Raw genomic sequence first — 18,818 nt, 5'->3', positions numbered from 1 at the left:
GAGTAGTTGGAAGACTGATTTAGGAGGAAGGAGGCTTGGATTTAGATCTGGGACTGCTGCTGACTTACAGAGTGAAGGAGTCTAATCAGAGACTAAGCTTCTTTGTGCCTTAGTCTTCCTTAACAGTCTTTCCCTATCCCCTTTTACAGCTGACAGGAGAGTAAAAGATTACAGCACACCAAAGTACTTTGTGGGGATGGGGCAAAACTTGAAAGCACAACGTAAACACGAGATAGCTTTAGGGTCCCAGTAAGGAAAGAATCTAAAAGAGATTTTTGCAGGGACTTCAGATGAGGGCATGGGAGAAGCAGCTCCAGGAAACCTTTCTCCTGTCACTTATCCCTCAGCCTTGGAGTCCTACTCCTTTTCCTTCGAAACAGTGATGAAGCAGCCTTTAGGATTATGAGATCCTACCCCTTATGCCAATCACTTGCTCGTCCGTGGCCCATCTGCCTCTTTGGTTATCTGTCATGTAATTTTGTAAATCCACTTTCCAGAGTCCCTGCCTCGTCACTGGACTCTAATAGACAGTTTTGGAGGCCCGTAGGACAGCATTTTGGCCTGAGCTGGCTGCTGATGTGGGTCAGAAGCTCCCAGAAATATCTGGATTGCTATCTTTTGATTTTAAACCCAGGTTAGGAAAATGAGTCTTTGAAATGCTGGTGTAGAGATAAAGTTGTGCCTTGAACCCAGTGTGCCTGTCACCAACTTACTAGGCAACAAGGTTGCAGGAAGGGTAAGAAAGAGGTTGGGCCTTCCTGAGCCTCAGAGAGAGAAAAAAAGACAAGCAGCTATGGGATCTTTACTCCAAGTGGGTGTGTTGAACACACATGCAAAGTCAGAACCCCTGGTAAAAGTAGAGCCAGTTGACCCTTCTTGTGAAGGTTTTTCAATTTTATTCAAATATTAGATGCCTGCCAATTGCCAGCCCTATGCTTTAGACATTGTGGGGGATACACAGAGCCTGCCCTTGGCCTCAGGCTGTTTATTATCTAGGAGTTACAAATACCCTATTCCTCAAGAGAAGGTGCTCATTACTAGAAGAGTACAAAGTACTGAGGAAACAGAAAATTCTAAGACATTGCTTCCAGGGGATTCCAGTGGATGCAGAAGGCTTGGTGGAGTGGAGGCAGTAAAGCTGGCCCTGACAGATGAACAGATTTTAACCCTGGGCCCATGCAAAATCTCAGAGGAGGGAAGGCTTGGGACATGGGTGGGAAATGGTATGCAGTATAGTTTGTCTGAGATTTAGTGACCTTAAGGAAGAGTGAGGTATAAAGGACAGGTAAGTGGGACCAGAACATGAAGGCTTTACCTCCGTCTTTGAAAGAGGGCCTTTGGGCCGGGTGCAGTGGCTCACATATGTAATCCCAGCACTTTGGGAGGCTGAGGCAGGCAGATCACGAGGTCAGGAGATCGAGACCATGGTGAAACCCTGTCTCTACTAAAAATACAAAAAAATTAGCCGGGCATGGTGGTGGGTGCCTGTAGTCCCAGTTATTTGGGAGGCTGAGGCAGGAGAATGGTGTGAACCTGGGAGGCGGAGCTTGCAGTAAGCCGAGCTTGTGCCACTGCACTCCAGCCTGGGCGACAAAGCGTGACTCCGTCTCAAAAAAAAAAAAAAGAAAGAGAGCCTTTGAAGAGGTTTAACCTAGGAATGTTAATATCATTTAAAATGATGTGTTTTATGTCAATATATATTGATTTGGAAAGATGTTTATAAGGTAAAAACATAACAAAACAATACGTACAGTATAATCCCATTTTAAATTGTAAAGCGTATATATACACACACACATACACACACACAGAAGAGGTAAGACCTGTAAGTTTATATTTCTCATAACATTGGTTATCTCTGGGTGTTGAGAGTTGAGGGTTTTTTTCTGTTTGTTTATATTTATATATTTCCTGACTTTTCTACAGTTCACACTTACTACTGTTGTAGTTATAAATTATTCACTTGTTTTAAATAAGCACATATATGATGGCTGAGTGAGAATGATCTAGAACTATGCCAGGGATTAGATAAAAACACAGAGTAAAAGTTGGCCATATAGTAACATTTTTGATGTCCAAATTGGAGAGGAATCCCTCAAATGTTCAAAAATATAGGAATGGGTCGGGTGTGGTGGCTCATGCCTGTAATCCCAGCACTTTGGGAGGCCAAGGCAGGAAGATCACTTGAGCCCAGGAGTTCAAGACCAGCCTGGGCAACACAGTGAGACCCTGACTCAAAAAATAAAAAGAAAAGACAAAAATACAAGAATGGCTAAGCAAACTAGTGTACATCAACCTGGAGGAATATTATATAGTCTTTTAAAATAACAAATATGTAGATTGTTAATACATGGGAAAAGGTATATGAAATAGGTGGAACCAAGCAGAACATAATATAGCATATTTCCTACTGATTACAACTATGGCAAAATGTATGTAAATGCTTCAGTGAATTTGGAGAGTGGAGGTAGTATTGTTAGTGTCTTTTTTTTTTTGAGACGGAGTCTTGCTGTGTTGCCCAGGCTGGAGTGCAGTGGCGTGATCTCACCTCACTGCAGCCTCCGCTTCCCGGGTTCAAGCAATTCTCCTGTCTCAGCCTCCCAAGTAGCTGGGATTACAGGTGTGCACCACCACGCCCGGCTAATTTTTGCATTTTTAGTAGATGAGGTTTCACCATATTGGTCAGTTAGTGTCCTTTTTTTTATTGTAGTAAAATATATACTCACTATTTTAACCATAAAAGCTTATGTTCACTGGCATTACATACATTTACAATGTTGTGCAACCATAACCAGGGTCCATTTCCACAACCTGAATTTCATCATCTCAAACAGAGACTGTGTATCCATTAAACAATAACTCCTACTCCCCCTCCTCCTCCTAAGCCCTTGGTAAAGTCTATTCTATTTTTTTGTCCCTATGAATTTGCCTATTCTAGATACCTCAAGAAAAACAGAATATTTGTCCTTTTGTCTTGCTTACTTAACTCAGCATCATCTGTATTGGAGTGTGTGTCAGAATTGCCTTCCTTTTGAAGACTGAATAGTATTCCACAGTATGGATGTGCTGCATTTGTTTATCCGTTTCTCCATTCGTGGATGCTCGGGTTGCTCCCACCTTTTGGCTATTGTGAAAAATGCTTCAAGTCCCTGCTTTCGGTTCTTTGTTGGTATATACCTAGGAGTGGAACTGCTGGGTCATATGGTAATTCTATGTTTCACTTTTTGAGGAACTGCCAACCTTTTAGTGTCTTTTTATTTTTTTTAATTTTTATTTTTATTTATTTATTTTTTGAGATGGAGTCTCACTCTTTCGCCCAGGCTGGACTGCAGTGGCGCTATCTCGGCTCACTGCAAGGTCTGCCTCCCAGGTTCACACCATTCTCCTGCCTCAGCCTCCCGAGTAGCTGGGACTACAGGCACTCGCCACCAAGCCCGGGTAATTTTTTTTTTTGTTTTTAGAGACGGGGTTTCACTGTGTTAGCCAGGATGGTCTCGATCTCCCGACCTCGTGATCCGCCTGCCTCGGCCTCCCAAAGTGCTGGGATTACAGGTGTGAGCCACTGCGCCCGGCCCTAGTGTCTTTTTAATATAAAGTTCTTCAGGTTTATTTATACCTACAGCTCCCAGTTCTTTTTGCTGTGCTAAATACATGTGAATTATTAAGGGATTACTACAGATGTGAAAGTGTTTTGTTCTGTTTAAATGCAACAGCCTTTATAGGTCTTTTTTTTTTTTTTTTTGAGACAGAGTCTCGCTCTGTTGTCCAGGCTGGAGAGCAGTGGCGTGATCTCGACTCACTGCAAGCACTGCCTCCTGGGTTCACACCATTCTCCTGCCTCAGCCTCCCGAGTAGCTGGGACTACAGGCGCCTGCCACCACGCCTGGCTAATTTTTTTGTATTTTTAGTAGAGACGCGGCTTCACCGTGTTAGCTAGGATAGTCTCAATCTCCTGATCTCATGATCCACCTGCCTCGACCTCCCAAAGTGCTGGGGTTACAGGCTTGAGCCACCACGCCCAGCCATAGATCTTAAGATAGTAGAGTGTTTTGAATGTGGCCATGGAAAACAGGGTCAACTTAGATGATTGCAACTTCCAAATGATTCCAGTACCCTTACATTTTATCCACAGTTTCAACTTTTACCTCCTTCTAGAAAGCTTTAACCAAAGTAAAAATAAATGAATGGATTTATTTATTTAATTTATTTTTTGAGACAGAGTCTTCCTCTGTTACCCAGGCTGGAGTGCAGTGGTGCGATCTTGGCTCACTGCAGCCTCCACCTCCCAGGTTCAACCAATTCTCATGCCTCAGCCTCCTGAGTAGCTGGGATTACAGGCACCCTCCACCACGCCCGGCTAATTTTTGTATTTTTAGTAGAGATGGGGTTTCACCATGTTAGCCAGGCTGGTCTCAAACTCCTGACCTCAAGTGATCTGCCCACCTCCCAAAGTGCTGGGATTACAAGCATGAGCCACCACCACCCGGCCTATGAATGGATTTATAATTGCTTTATTTTTGTCCCATTTAGACAGAAGTCAGAGACAGAGGAGAGAACCAAAAAACTTGGATGTTTCCGTAAACTAGATTCCTCAATCCTCGATAATTGAAAGTAGTTCCAGTATGTCAGCCACCGGGGTTCCCTGGGGAGCTAACCAGTCCTGAAGGAAGTATGAAGAGGAAGAGGAGGTCTTCAGTTAAGGGGATGAATTTGTGCAGTGCCTAAGCCCTGCAAAGGTGCTGGAGGGAGGAAGAAGGGCAGGAGATAAAAGATGGAAGAAAATTTGTTTTTTATCCACTTAGAGTTTTATCTTTAATGATGGGAAACAGTGCTGCTCTCAGGAAACTCAGTGTGGAGATCTAGGAGTTCACGGTTCATAGTCCATTAGGAGCAGGAAAAGGATAGAGGACATTTATAAAGTAACATCCAAGTCCAAAGTAAAATGGTATAAATTGTTTCCCATGATAAAGGCTGGCTGAGTAGGTCAGGAAAGGTCTTGTCAGACCATATGTGCTGTTTCAGGCTGCTTCAAATTCTTTTAGGACAGTGGTGGATATGAGTGAAGACGGGGCAGGCAGGCCACATCTCTTAGAAGAGGAAGGTGATTGCCACGTCTCCTTCCTCCATGCTGATGGCAAGGCGTGCGGGCTGTGTTCTCTTGCAGCCAGCGTCCCATGCTCGGTGGCCCCAGAAAAGTCAGTGTGTAGGCCTCAGCCACTTCAGGTCCGGCGTACATTCTCCCTGGACACCATCCTCAGCTCCTACCTTCTGGGCCAGTGGCCACGAGATGCTGATGGGGCCTTCACCTGCTGCACCAATGACAAGGCCACCCAGGTAATGAAGCTCTCTCCTGATGGGATAAGGGATAAGGATGGGGCGGGAGAGCTGGCTGAGGAGGCCTTTGGTCTTCCTCAAGTCATTGCGATGATTTGTCTTGGGTTTTGGTCGTACATATTATCCATGTAATGTTTTATCTTCTTAAGACAGAGTTTCCTTTTGTCACCCAGGCTGGAGTGCAGTGGTGCGATCTTGGCTCACTGCAACCTCTGCCTCCCGGGTTCAAGTGATTCTCGTGCCTCATCCTCCCAAGTGGCTGGGATTACAGGTGCCTGCTACCACGCCCTGCTAATTTACCACCGTTTTTCTTTGTAAACTTATATGGAAATGAGTTTGCATTCCACCTGCCTGGTGGAAGAGAGAAGTCAATCTGGGTTTTTCAGTTTAGCTTTGAGTATTTGTGTCGGGGTAATCAACAGCTGACTTTAGAGTTTATTCTAGCTTTTTAAAAAATGAGATTTAGGCTGGGCGCAGTGGCTCACGCCTATAATCTCAGCACTTTTGGAGGCCTAGGCAGGCGGATCACCTGAGGTCAAGAGTTTGAAACCAGCCTGGCTAACATGGTGAAACCCCGTCTCTACTAAAAATACAAAAATTAGCTGGGCGTGGTGGTGGGTGCCTGCAGTCCCAGCTACTTGGGAGGCTGAGGCGGGAGAATCGCTTGAACCTTGGAGGGAGAGGTTGCAGTGAGCTGAGATCACGCCATTGCATTCCATCCTGGGTGACAGAGCAAGACTCCATCTCAAAAAAATAAAAAAAATAAAAAATGAGATTTACCTTGCTAAAATTAAACCAAGGCCAACATTCTATTGAGTTTGTATTTCCCAAAGAAGTGGCCAAAAAGTATGCTGAGCCAGAATAGATCCCACTGGAGCCATAGGAATGGGAAGTTCTCAGATAATGGAGAATTCTTCCTTGCCAGCAGCCCCGACTGGGATTTCAGTGTACCCATTCAAGGACTGGGGAGCCAGCTTCCTCTCCTTCAGTATTTTCATTAAGACAGTCTTTTCATTAAGAATCCCAAGCTCGGAAAGAATCTCTGCAGATCATCCAGTTCATTTACCAATTTTTGGATAAGCTAGCACGAACGTATCTCATATGTGAAATTATACAGACATTTCTTAATCTGATTCAGGACTTCATTCTTAGCAGCTAAGTTGTTAAGAGTCAAATCTCCCTTTTGATGCAGTTTAAACGCACTCTTGTTCATCTTCAGAGCAAATGAGTTATTTCGAGATAGGCAGAAACAGGGTGGCTAGGACATGAGGGTCCGAGTCAGCCCTTCACCCTGGGGGACATTGGGCAAGTCAGCTCTTCCTTTGCAAACTGGGTGGAGAGTGCGTGGTCTGCCTCTGTGTAGGTGGCATGATGGCCAAATGACACATGAAAGTGCTTGGTACCTCTTCTGACCACATCATGTCAGTTTCTTTCCTTTATTTATTTTGTTAATGCGATCCATTTTCAAATGTTGTTAGTGAATGTTTGAATGCCCAGTACTGTTCTTGGCATGTTGGAATGAAGAATAAGGAAATGAGGACAAGATTTGGCCTCCATGAGTCTGGATTCCAGTTCTATGAGGGCCAGTAAACAGACAGCCAAGGGATGAGATGGAGCCAAATATCTGGCAAAGTTTAAAGAAGGGGAATTCTCATGGGAATACCCCACCTTGAATCAACAAGAATTTGCTGCAGTTAAAATCATGGCCCTCTTTGGATCTACAAATAGACTGTGAAAGGAGAATACCCTCCAGGAAGGAGAGAGAGTAGGCTTCCTTCCTGGGAGCCCTGGGCACTGCCATTCCCTTTATCCTTTGGAAAAGGCAAGTAGGATAAATTATGCTTCCTCCTCACAGGCCTGGGAGCACACATAACTTTGTCTTTTGATAGGAGTGCTTAGTTCAAATATGTTTGTAGTCAAGGAGGGCTTCCTGGAGGAACAGGACTTGAGATTCCTTTGAGTGTGTAAGCTCATTATTGCATCCCTGTTTGTCAGATGGCAGGCTTCTGTGTAGCCCACCTATTTCTGCCTCTGTCATTTCCTGCTTTCAGCCTTCTAGGAAGTCACCATCCCACTCCTCAGATAGCTTTCTCTTTGTCAACTGAAGGCAGGGTTGGCCTCAGATGTTCCCTGGCTGAGTTTAGAGGCATGGGCCCTAGGCTGTGTGTTTTTGCTCAGGCTCCAGCTGTAGGCCAGATCTTTTATATAACAAGTCTGGGCTTCTTGCCACAGCAAGACAGAGGTCAGCGATGAGCCTCCGTGGGTCTGGCAAGGCCAAGCCATGCAGCTTTCCTCTTTCCCTGGGATGGGCTCCAGCCCTCGAGGAACTCTTAGCAACCTGTCAATATTGTGGCCGCAGTCAGGAGGTGGAGAATGCTGATCAACCTAGGCATCCAAACCAAAATATGCACTCTACCCATCTTTCATTCCTGGTCTTCTGGGAATTTGCTGCTTCTAGGTTTTGGGCTCCATTCAAATTCCTGCTTAAGCCCCCGGGCCTGGTCCAAGCTACCCTCTTCAACACTGGTATTACACTGTGGAGGTCTGAGGCTCACCTGACATATTCCTAAGTAACTGGTGTTCCTTTCCTATTGAGTACTGGGATATCACCCAGAAAGGACTGGAGAGGAAGGAGAGGTTTGACTGGGAAGACATGAAGGTGTCTGGAGAGGGGAAGAGGGAAGGGAGGGTGGCAGGATCTACCAAAGTCCTTGAAAGCTTTTAAGCTGTTAAAAATGGACTAATATGGCCAGGCATGGTGGCTCACGCCTGTAATCCCAGCACTTTGGGAGGCCGAGGTGGGCAGATCACAAGGTCAGGAGGTCGAGACCATCCTGGCCAACATGGTGAAACCCCATCTCTACTAAAAATACAAAAATTAGCTGGGCATGGTGACTCACATCTGTAGTCCCAGCTACTCGGGAGACTGAGACAGGAGAATCGCTTGAACCCGGAGGCAGAGGTTGCAGTAAACCGAGATCATGCCACTGCACTCCAGCCTGGCAACAGAGCGAGACTCTGTGTCAAAAAAAAAAAAAAAAAAAAAAGACTGATGCCAGAACCTTTTCCCAATTGCCCTAAGCTGAGGGTGGGGCTGTTCCTACCGCTGCCCTTACCTTTTGCCCTTTCTCTTCTAGTCATACCAATATAGTAGTTATTTTCTGCTTCATCCTCCCTCACTGGTGGGCACTCACTACTACTGTCCTACTTGCCTAACCTCCCTCCACCAAGAGCCAGCAGCCCTGGCATTCCCAGGGCATGCCTTGCAATGAGGTCAGCAGCTGCAGTTATGGTTCAGGCTAAGCAGCTCCTTCCTCTGAATCCCTGAGAGGAGACCAGGGCCCTGCCCATTGCAAGCCAGCTTCAGATCTAGGCAGCAAGCCTGGGACACCTGCTGTCTAGATAGCCGGGCATGCTATCTTGAGGCTTCTTCACAGAGTAGAAGATGGAGCGAAAAGCTCTCAGTTCTTGAATATAGCCCAGTAGTGCCAACAATCTCATCCTAGTATCTCCTTCCTCGTTGTGTTTTAAACTCTTAGGTGGTTACAAAGGATTGTCCTCAGGCCATTTACAGTCAGACATGGAGAACTGGGTTACCCAAATATTTGGGGCAAGGAAAGAGGAAGCGTGCGGATATATGTTATTTGTGATATTGGTTGTTTTTGGGAGGAGGATGTGTGAACATGGTAATTGGGGAAGAAGTGCTTTGGAGATGCTGCATGTTTTGAGCAACGGGAGAGATGACCAGGTCAGTTGGTAAACTAGAGCTGGCCACCGATTGCTTTGTGTTGCCCACTTCTAGTGGCTGGGCCCAGGCCAGGGTGGGTGAGGGCAGTACATGCCGGTGGCTGCAGTTACCCCTTTCCCTTCTTGCTGTGCAAACCTTTGAGTCTTCGTGTATTTTTCTGGAGGGAGGAAGTGGTCTCATCACAGCTGGAATGACTGTTTGAGCAAAGTTCCCCTGTTGGTCTCATCCTGCTGACGGACAGGACTCTGGGTACCTGTCCTGCCTAGCCCAGCCCCCCATTCTACTCATCCCCAGCCCCATTCCCTCTGCATTCCCCAGGTAAGATGGGGAAGCTTCTATGATAGGATATTTTTTTCTTTAGCCCCAACTTACCCTTTAGAAAAAAAAAAAAAAGCTTAAGTCTTGACAAACCACACGGAGTATGAGGAAGGCCAGAGGTGAAGGTGGGCATGCTCACTGGGAAGACTTCTCTTCCTGTGTCTTTCCCCTACCTGTGTACTATCCTCCCTGTTTTCCCAAGCCAGTGCCCCAACAGTGATGACACACAATTCAGTCTGACCATCATGGACCTTTTAAAAATGTTTTTCTTTGTGGGTGTGGGGGCCTGGGCACACTGCCTGTTTTCCAGATTGGCGATCAGGACCAGTTGTTCAGCATAGTTTGACAAAAGTACCAAACATTTGAAAATGGGGCCATGATGGAAAATCTGAGAGTTGCATAGTCACTGTAGGGCCAGAGATGGTGGCCTTGGCCACTTGCAGCCAGTTTTCAGTGCTGACCAGCAGACCACCCTCAGAGCCTTTTCCGGCCTTTTTGTTTGGCCGGAGACCTAAGGGACTGATTCCCTGCAGAATTTCAGTTGAACACGTGGTCCTGACGGTCCACACCAGGCCAGGCACCATGCTGCTTGACAGTCCCGTGCAGGGATAGTGGGTTACGTTCCCAGGGCCTAGCCCAGCTCCACACATGGAGCTTACTCAGGTGCCAAGGTCACTGGAGACAGTGAGGGCCAGGACTTTCCTGCCTGTGGTCATGGAGTCTAGGTAGAAACTTTTGGGCTGGAGGCTGAGAGATTCCAGTTTGGAGGGTTTTCAGCTTCATCCCGCCCCTCCTCCTCATTATATTAGATGGCTCTTTGAGAAACTGTCCTCCACCCCCATGCCCAGCTGTCCTTCCACATGTTGCTCTGGGATCTCAATCCCAGGCAAGGCTTCCTTGGTCTGGCCACGTCCAGTTTTGCATAACCTAAGTATCATCTGCACAGCTGGCCCATGCCACTCATGGTCAGAAGCTACCCTACTTGTCCCTCAGCTGCTCACCCTGGGCCAGGGTGTCAAATCTGTTCCAGTGCATGACTCCCCCTGACAAACAACTTTTTGTTCTTTTTCTTTTTGGAGAACAGAGTCTCGCCCTGTCGCCCAAGCTAGAGTGCAGTGGCTCGATTTTGGCTCGCTGCAACCTCCGCCTCCCAGCTTCAAGCAATTCTCCTGCCTCAGCCTCCCAAGTAGCTGGGATTACAGGCATGTGCAACCATGCCCGGCCAATTGTTTTGTATTTTTAGTAGAGACGGAGTTTCACCATGTTGACCAGGCTGGTCTTGAACTCCTGACCTCAAGTGATCTGATCTGCCCACTTCAGCCTCCCAAAGTGCTGGGATTACAGGCATGAGTCACCGTGCCTGGAGACAAACATGACTTTTTGGTCTGCTGAGCTCCAGCTCTACCCTGCTTCCAAAGGGTCATCTAGAATGACTGAGCAGCATGGTGTGACCCCTGTTGTGGCCAGAAGGTTAGTTTTTTCTTTTTCTTTTTTCCTTTTTTTTTTGAGACAGGGTCTCACTCTATTGCCCAGGCTGGAGTGCAGTGGTATTATCATGACTCACTGCAGCCTCGAACTCTGGGCGCAAGTGGTCCTCCTGCCTCAGCCTCCCTAGTAGCTGGGACTACAGATATGCACCACCATAACTGGCTAATTTAAAATTATTTCTTTTATAGAGATAGGGTCTCGCTAGTTGACCAGGCTGGTTTTGAACTCCTGGCCTCAAGCAATCCTACTGCCTTGGCTTCCCAAGGTGCTGGGATTACAGGCATGAGCCACCGCACCTGGCCAGGTTAGCTTTTTGAAGGGGAGCTTTTCTTAGCTGTGACTACATGGTGAGACTCAGAAGAGGAGTCCTATCTAACCTTGGGCACTGGAAACTGGGGACACAGTCCCCACTCTGGGCACTCCCAGTTTAGGAGGGGCTATAGTCCACACCTGTGTACACTCCTGCCTTGAGAATACTCGATGTCGGGTGGGCGCAGTGGCTAATGCCTGTAATCCCAGCACTTTAGGAGGCTGAGGCAGGCAGATCACCTTAGGTCAGGAGTTCGAGACCAGCCTGACCAACATGGTGAAACCCCGTCTCTACTACAAATACAAAATTAGCCAGGTGTGGTGGCACATGCCTGTAATCCCAGCTACTTGGGAGGCTGAGGCAGGATAATCGCTTGAACCCGTGAGGCGGAGGTTTCAGTGAGCCAAGATTGCGCCATTGCACTCCAGCCTGGGCAACAAGAGTGAAACTCCCATCTCAAAAAAAAAAGAATACTCGATGTCAGCATGTCAACAACTTCAAACACAGGATAACCTACTGCATTAGGTTTCTGAGGCTGCTTTAACAAATTACCTCAAACTTAGTGGCTTAATACCACAGAAATGTATTATTTCACAGTTCTGGAGACCAGAAGTCCAAGTTCTGTTTCACTGGGCTGAGATCAAGGTGTTGGTAGGGCCATTCTCTCCCAGGAGGCTCCTGGGGAGAGTCTGTTCCTGCACTTCTAGCTTCTGGTGGCTGCTGGCACTCCTTGGCTTGCAGCCACATCACTCGAGTCTCTGCCTCTGTGGTCATATCGCTTTATCCTCTTCAGTGTGCATACATCTAATCTCCCTCTGCCTCTTTCTTATTTAAGGACGTTTGTAATGGTATTTAGGGTCCACCCAGATAATCTTGGATAATCTCAAGATCCTTAATACATCTGCAAAAACGTTACTATACAAGGTAACATTTATAGGTTCCTCATCTTTGAGGAGCTGTTTTTTAACCTGTCACTGCATCTCCTGACACACTCTGCTCCAGCCACACTGGCCTCTTTATCATTCTCAAACATGCCAGGCTCATTGCCGCCACAGGGCCTTTGCACTGGCTGTTCCCTCTGTCTGGATTACTCTTACCTCAGATACGCACATGACTCACTCCCTCACTTCCTTCGTGTTTTTATTCAGATGTTACTTTTTCATTGGGGGCCTCCCTGACATTTCCAATTGTATCCCCCACCCAGCATTCCTATCCCTTTTCTTTGCTGTATTTTTCTCCTTGGCACTTATCACTGTTTAAACTGTCTCCCCAATAAGAACATAAACTCAGACGGGACAAGTATTTGTGTTGTTTTGTACATGGTTGTATGGCCAGTGCCTGAAACAGTACCGGGCACACAGTGTACATTCAGCCACTATTTGTTGATTGCACGAATGCTGTACACTCAGAGCCCATCTGCAAGGAGGAGACACAGAGCAGAAGAGCAGTCAGCCTGAGGCAGACAAGTTAGGAAAGGCTCCCTGACAAGAAGAATGGGAATAGTTGGCCGGGCAGGCCGTCTTAGATCGGGAGACCAGGCTTGGAGGTTGGGGGTAAGGTAAGAAAAAGGAGAGGGAGATGGGTTTGCTTGGGAGGACAGAGAGCCAAGGATGGAGAGCCCGTGGGATGAAGGGTCAGATGGTGAATTCTATGGCCAGGGGTTGGGTGTTGACACAAAGAAATGGCCTTAGTAGTATAGTTTACACAGAGAAGGCAGTGGTTGGTGGAAGACGTTGCTGAGCGGAGAGAGGTGGGGTCACTTGGATTGAGAGAGGAGATGACCCTAGCTGCTATGATTTTCACATCCCTTTCTTTTTCTTTTCTTTTTTTTCTTTTTTCTTTCTTTCTTTTTTTTTTTTTTTTTCTTGAGACTGTCTTGCTCTGTCGCCCAGGCTTGGAGTGCAGTGGTGCAATCTCAGCTCACTGCAACCTCTACCTCTTGAGTTCAAGCAATTCTCGTGCCTCAGCTACCTGAATAGCTGGGATTACAGGCGCCCAGTTAATTTTTCTATTTTTAGTAGAGACGGGGTTTCACCATGTTTGCCAGGCTGGTCTTGAACTCTTGACCTCAAGTGATCCACCCGCCTCAGTCTCCCAAAGTGTTGGGATTACAGGCATGAGCCACCACCCCCAGCCTCACATCCTTTTTAAGTCCTGTGCTAGCCTGCATTTCTCTTTCCATCCTCTCGCATATCCCAGAAGAAAGAGGTACTTGAAGAGTTTGCAAGAGATATTAGTAGTACCCGTGGCGGCCTGAATGTGGCTGTTTTTTCCTCTCTGTTACCACCCACCTGTGAGTACAGTATCTTCCCTGAGGAAGGGAAATGGGCAGAACGGTCCCTTTAGCTTTTGTCATCCCTCTATAGCCTCTGCCACCTTCCAGGGACAACAGGTTTGTGTGGGGGGTGCGGGGCCCAGCTTCGATTAGCAGAGGTAGTCATCTTTAGAGTTGGTCCTGGAGCCTTGAGGAGAGGATCCTTTGTGTGTCTGCTGGGTCGAGGTGGCTGGGAGAGATGGGCTTCCTCCTCACTTTTCAGTGCATGCACCAGCCTTTTCTGAGGCTTTGTCTGGTAGAACCCTGGTTTAGAGAGACATGGGCATTTGGAAGTAGCTTTCCATATACTGACAGAGCCAGTATATGGCTTTAGGGTTTGTGCTGAAGATTTGGGCCTGAAGGATGTGCTGTCTGCCCTTTTCCTAAAGAAGGGAATTGTGGGGAAATGGATCTCTGGATGCTTTATTTAGCATTTGTAGACTCCTCTGTTACCTACTTACTCGTGATGCTCATCAGAACAAGAAAGTTAGGGTAGTTGTCTCACCCTGGCTATGTTGCGTGGCCCAGTAAAGGTGCTGATCCATGAGCAGCTGGGAGAAGGAAGAGCCAGGGAGCCCCAATCCCCAGTGGCCCCTCTCCACTGCAGCTGTCACATACGGCCGTCTGCTCTCACAAGCTTGCTCAGACTCCCCCGCCGAGCTCCTCTTAGCAGCTGTTGGGTGGCGAGTAGTTGGGTTTTTTTCCCCGTCCTCCCCCTTTTCTGTTTGCAACAACCTCTCGGGGGAGGTCAGCAGATCTCTTGGAGGAGACAGTTCCCAGGCCCTCATGTTTTTGGCAGCCTGTGCTTGTGCACAGAAGTTAGAGAGAAACTGGTTCCACTGGAGCGTTCCCCCTTGGGCCCCTCCCTTGGAATGGAAGTAGGGATACTGGTGGTGGGGAGGGTTCTGGGCCTCTTTGGCTTCATGCTTAGAGCCAACAGCTTCCTCCCTTGGGTCGGGGCTCAGGAAGTAGTCCTGCAGCTCTCCCTGCCTCCATCTTGGACACTCTGTCTTCGGTGCAGCAAGGGAGAGAAGATGCACACTGAGGGCCCTGTTTTTATGAGGGCTGGGCAGGCCCGGGAGGAAAAGGAGTGATAAGGCCAAGAGGGATCAGGAATCAGGGCTGGATTCAGAACTGTGGCTCTCTCCTTTCTGAAAATGTCTCCTTCCTGCTTATTTGCAGCGGGGGCAGGGGTTGGGGGAGTAACACTTATTCCATGTGCAGGGAAAAATGAAGCACTGCACCATACAGGAGTCCCCTGCTTTGGTCAGGGGACCTATGTTGACATTTTTTCCTGTTTTACCAGTTAATAATCCCTTAATGCACTCCTATATATTAACTTGTTTTTATTAGGCTCCCAGGAGCCTGGGCCTGTGCTACACATGTAGAGGGCGAGAGAATAAAGAGTGCCAGTGATTCCCGGAGCCTGAGCCTATATTCTCTTGGAGCTGGTTGGGATAGGAGTGGCAATACTTGTCCTCACCACTGAGGATCAGCTGGAATAACTGGGATATCATATATGTATAGCACTCAGAAAAGAGTAAAGAGGAGGTTGGCCCTGTTGGGTCATCAGGGAATGTTTGCTGGAGGACATGAACTGGGAAGGAGGGAGTGCAGGTGGAGAAGCCTGAAGAAGAACACCGACTGGGAGTGTTCAGAGGTTGATGAGCAGAGAGAAGGGCTCAAAGGGCCATCACCTCTACCCAGAAAACAGTGTGCCTGTTCCCCAGTGCCTGCCAAAGAAGCTGCTGTGTCTCACTGTGTTTCTCTCCCTGCAGACGCCCCTGTCCTGGCAAGAGCTAGAAGGTGAGCGTGCCAGTTCCTGTGCACACAAGCGCTCAGCATCCTGGGGCAGCACAGACCACCGAAAAGAGGTAGCTACCCACTTTGACTCCCTGCCTAGGGTAGCGGCTTCTTCTCGATCCCCTAGTACCATGCAATGCATCTGCTCCATGGTGGCGTCACACTGCTCACCTCTCCTATCTTGACCTGGCCTTTTCCTGATGAGATGGCTCCTTCCTAGCTGACTCCCACTCTCCAAGTGGCCAGGTCTTAGGAGCCCAGACCCTCCTGCTAGGCAGGGGCTTGGCCAGAGGCTGCTAGTGCCTTTCAGCAGCAAGCACAGGGCTGGAGCCACCATTGTTCTTTGGGATTGGATCCAGATAAGCAGCTCAGAGACTGGAGGAAGACAGGGAGGGAGTTCCTGGGAATTAGGAGCTCCCAGCCTCATTTACTTCTTAACTACTCATCTAGTTTTTTGTTTGTTTGTTTGTTTTTGGAAACAGAGTCTCTACTGGCCAGGCTGGAGTACAGTGGCACGATCTCGGCTCACTGCAACTTCCGCCTCCTGGGTTCAAGCGATTCTCCTGCCTCAGCCTCCTAAGTAGCTTAGATTACAGGCACCCACCACCACAGCCACCTAATTTTTGAATTTTTTTTTTTTTTTAGTAGAGATGGGTTTCACCGTGTTGGCCAGGGTGGTCCTGAACTCCTGACCTCAGGTGATCTGCAAGCCTCAGCATCCCAAAGTGCTGGGATTACAGGCGTGAGCCACCACGCCCAGCCCTAGCCTTATTTTCAAGAGAAGAGAAAAATAACGAAATGCTCCCAAACACTTTTTCCTGGCCCTCCCTCTCCCTCAGGAGTGCTCAAGTCATTGAGGTTAAGGGGAGAAAGCCGTAGGCTGGAATATTCCAGGGCTCCCCATCAGCTCCTCCTGACATGCTGTGTGGCAGCTTCTGAGAGGGTCAACTCGATAGGACTCACCCTGCACGCCTTTACAAGAGGAAGTTGCTTCTGCCCTCTATTGCTGAGAACAATGAGAAAATATGAAGTGAATACGTTGAGAGCTTAAGACAAGGGGGAAATAAAAAATATTTAAACTTTTCAATGGTCAGAGTAAGCAAGTTATTCACACTAAGAATGGGGAGATGTGGTATGAGTGACCCACAATAGCAAATTGGAAAGCTCTTTCTTCTTGGCTCTAGTCATAAATCTTATGGCTGTGGGTAGCAGATCTACTCTCTGAATTCCATTTAATTTAGGCTTATATTTAAATAGCTCTTCATCCCCTGAGCATTTTCCAGTTGAGGGCAAGAAGGTCCAGAATTGCACATGTGATGGGATAATATTCAAAACTGTTGATGATAATCTGTAGTAGTCTCAGGATATGAAAGTCAAGATGAAATCCAATATCCCCTTCTTGAGTGTCTATCCCTGTTCCTAGTGTAGTCTACTTTAAACAAGGGAGAATATCCCCATCCTTCCTGGTCTCAGGGCCTCTAAGATCGTTGTGAATGTACTCTGAATGTCCTTAGCATTCAGAAACATCATCTTCCATTGCTATTTATAGAGGGGTAGGGCCAGACGCAATGCCTCATGCCTGTAATCCCAGGACTTTGGGAGGCTGAGGCGGGTGGATCACGAGGTAAGGAGTTCAAGACCAGCCTGGCCAACATGGTGAAACCCCATCTCTATTAAAAATACAAAAATTAGCTGGGGGTGATGGTGGGTGCCTGTAATCCCAGCTACTCAGGAGGCTGAGGCAGAGAACTGCTTGAACCTGGTGGAGGTTGCAGTGAGCCGAGATCGCACCATTGCACTCCAGCCTGGGTGAGAGAGCGAGACTCAGTCTCAAAAAAAAAAGAGGGGTAGTCCATGCCTTTGGAATCTGTAAAAGACAAAATGGTTTCCATGTTGTATATTTTTAATTATTTGGAATCCAATCCATCTAGTTAAGTGAGGTATCCAACTCGTCTGAGGAACAGATCATCACAGTTTTAACACCATTGAGCTATTTTGAGATGGAAGATTAACTTCCATCCTCCTTGTATATATCTTCATGGGCCTCTGCCAGGAGCCACTCTTTGGAAGAGGGACCCAGTGCACTTTGGCTTTCCTTAATCTGCCTCTGTCGTCTTCTCTCTGGGCTGCTAGATTTCCAAGTTGAAGCAACAACTGCAGAGGACGAAGCTGAGCCGCAGTGGGAAAGAGAAGGAGCGAGGTTCACCACTCCTAGGGGACCACGCAGTGCGGGGAGCACTGAGGGTATGTTTTCTCCCCCAGCCCTCTCCCCTCTGTTCTCCTCCATGCAGGCCCCCCTATATGGGCAGAGGTTTCCTGGGTCTTGGAACTGCCGAGCCCCCTACCACACTGCATGCTTTGTGAAGTTTTAGTCCAAACTTGGTCTTGCTGTGTGATATTGGAAGGGCTTCTTGCCGTTCTGAATCTCCCTCTCTTCTACCCCCATCCCCATATAATTGAGGCAATGACTCTACAGCACACAGTAGACTCTGCAAAGCTCAAACTTTTGGAGAAAACTGCCCTGAGTGGACCTATTGCAATCTGTAACTGTCCCCAAATCACCCTTCATTCACTCAGTTCTGCTGTGTGGACATGACCATTACCCCTGGTCAGAATGAAAGACTGTCTAGGCCTGGTGGGGCTGTGTGTGATTTTGTCATTTGCCTCTTCCTCAGGCGTCCCCTCCCAGCTTCCCCTCAGGGTCCCCTGTCTTGCGACTCAGCCCCTGCCTGCACAGGAGCCTGGAAGGGCTCAACCAAGAGCTGGAGGAGGTATTTGTGAAGGAGCAGGGAGAAGAGGAGCTGCTGAGGGTGAGTGGCGGCTGCACCCTGAGTGCACCCACAGTCCGTGCCTCACTTGGCCTGGGCGAGGGGAACTGGGAGTCCTGCTCTCTGGGGCCTCACAGGCTATGGCTACGCAAACAGCAGCATACAAACACCAGCCTGCAAAAGGAATGCAAATGGAGTTTATTAGTCTCAAATGGCCTTAACCCATGTCACTAGGGCAGGCTTTGTGGTGGTGAGTACAAAGACAGGGGGCAAGGATTGGCAGAGAGGAGGCCCCCCCGCTGGGAGGAACAGACAGGGGTCATCTTCAGCCAAACTGCCAGTTCTCACTGTTCCCCGTGTGCTCGGCACCGGCATGGGCGCCTCAGTGCCTGCTGCTCCCTGCCCCTTCTCCATCTCTACCTGGTAACACGCATGCCTCCTTCATGCCAAGCTGCTCCTATGCAGCCTTCTCCCCGACTCCACTCCCAGGCAGAATATGTGCTACCTTTGCTGAAGTCTCAGGCACTTTTTTTTTTTTTTGAGATGGAGTTTCACTCTTGTTGCCCAGGCTGGGGTGCAGTGGCGCGATCTCAGCTCACCGCAACCTCCGCCTCCCGGGTTCAAGCAGTTCTCTGCCTCAGCCTCCCCAGTAGCTGGGATTACAGGCGCTTGCCACCACGCCTGACTAATTTTTGTATTTTTAATAGAGATGGGGTTTCACCATCTTTGCCAGGC

The 18,818-nt window shown here is 48.1% G+C and overlaps 1 protein-coding gene across 5 annotated transcripts in view, besides 1 other annotated feature; it reads left to right on the top strand.

Moving 5' to 3' along the window:
• Nucleotides 1–18,818, top strand: part of FAM117A (family with sequence similarity 117 member A) — a 78,779-nt gene that overhangs the window by 51,226 nt on the left and 8,735 nt on the right. For 3 of the 5 annotated variants that reach the window (XM_047436858.1, NM_030802.4, NM_001411126.1), the window contains exons 2-5: nt 5,165–5,334; nt 15,291–15,386; nt 17,449–17,559; nt 17,991–18,125. Coding sequence is in view for 3 of the 5 variants with exons in the window: in NM_030802.4 (NP_110429.1) it covers nt 5,165–5,334; nt 15,291–15,386; nt 17,449–17,559; nt 17,991–18,125 (512 nt within the window). In the remaining 2 variants the exon portion in view is untranslated. Of the gene's footprint in view, nt 1–2,260; nt 3,553–5,164; nt 5,335–15,290; nt 15,387–17,448; nt 17,560–17,990; nt 18,126–18,818 lie in introns of those variants that run through there. The other 2 variants (XM_017025182.2, XM_047436857.1) reach the window with 2 other exon arrangements.
• Nucleotides 18,157–18,717: an enhancer, noted in NCBI's record as "H3K4me1 hESC enhancer chr17:47796530-47797090 (GRCh37/hg19 assembly coordinates)". NCBI's record gives its function as "activates a minimal SCP1, AML or CMV promoter by ChIP-STARR-seq in primed H9 embryonic stem cells {active_cell/tissue: H9 hESC(primed)}" and the evidence as "EXISTENCE:reporter gene assay evidence [ECO:0000049][PMID:30033119]".

Source organism: Homo sapiens, chromosome 17 (assembly GCF_000001405.40).
Source record: "Homo sapiens chromosome 17, GRCh38.p14 Primary Assembly".
NCBI lineage: Eukaryota > Metazoa > Chordata > Mammalia > Primates > Hominidae > Homo > Homo sapiens.
Note: the sequence above shows the minus strand (reverse complement) of the source record. Positions and strands in the feature narration are given on the sequence as shown.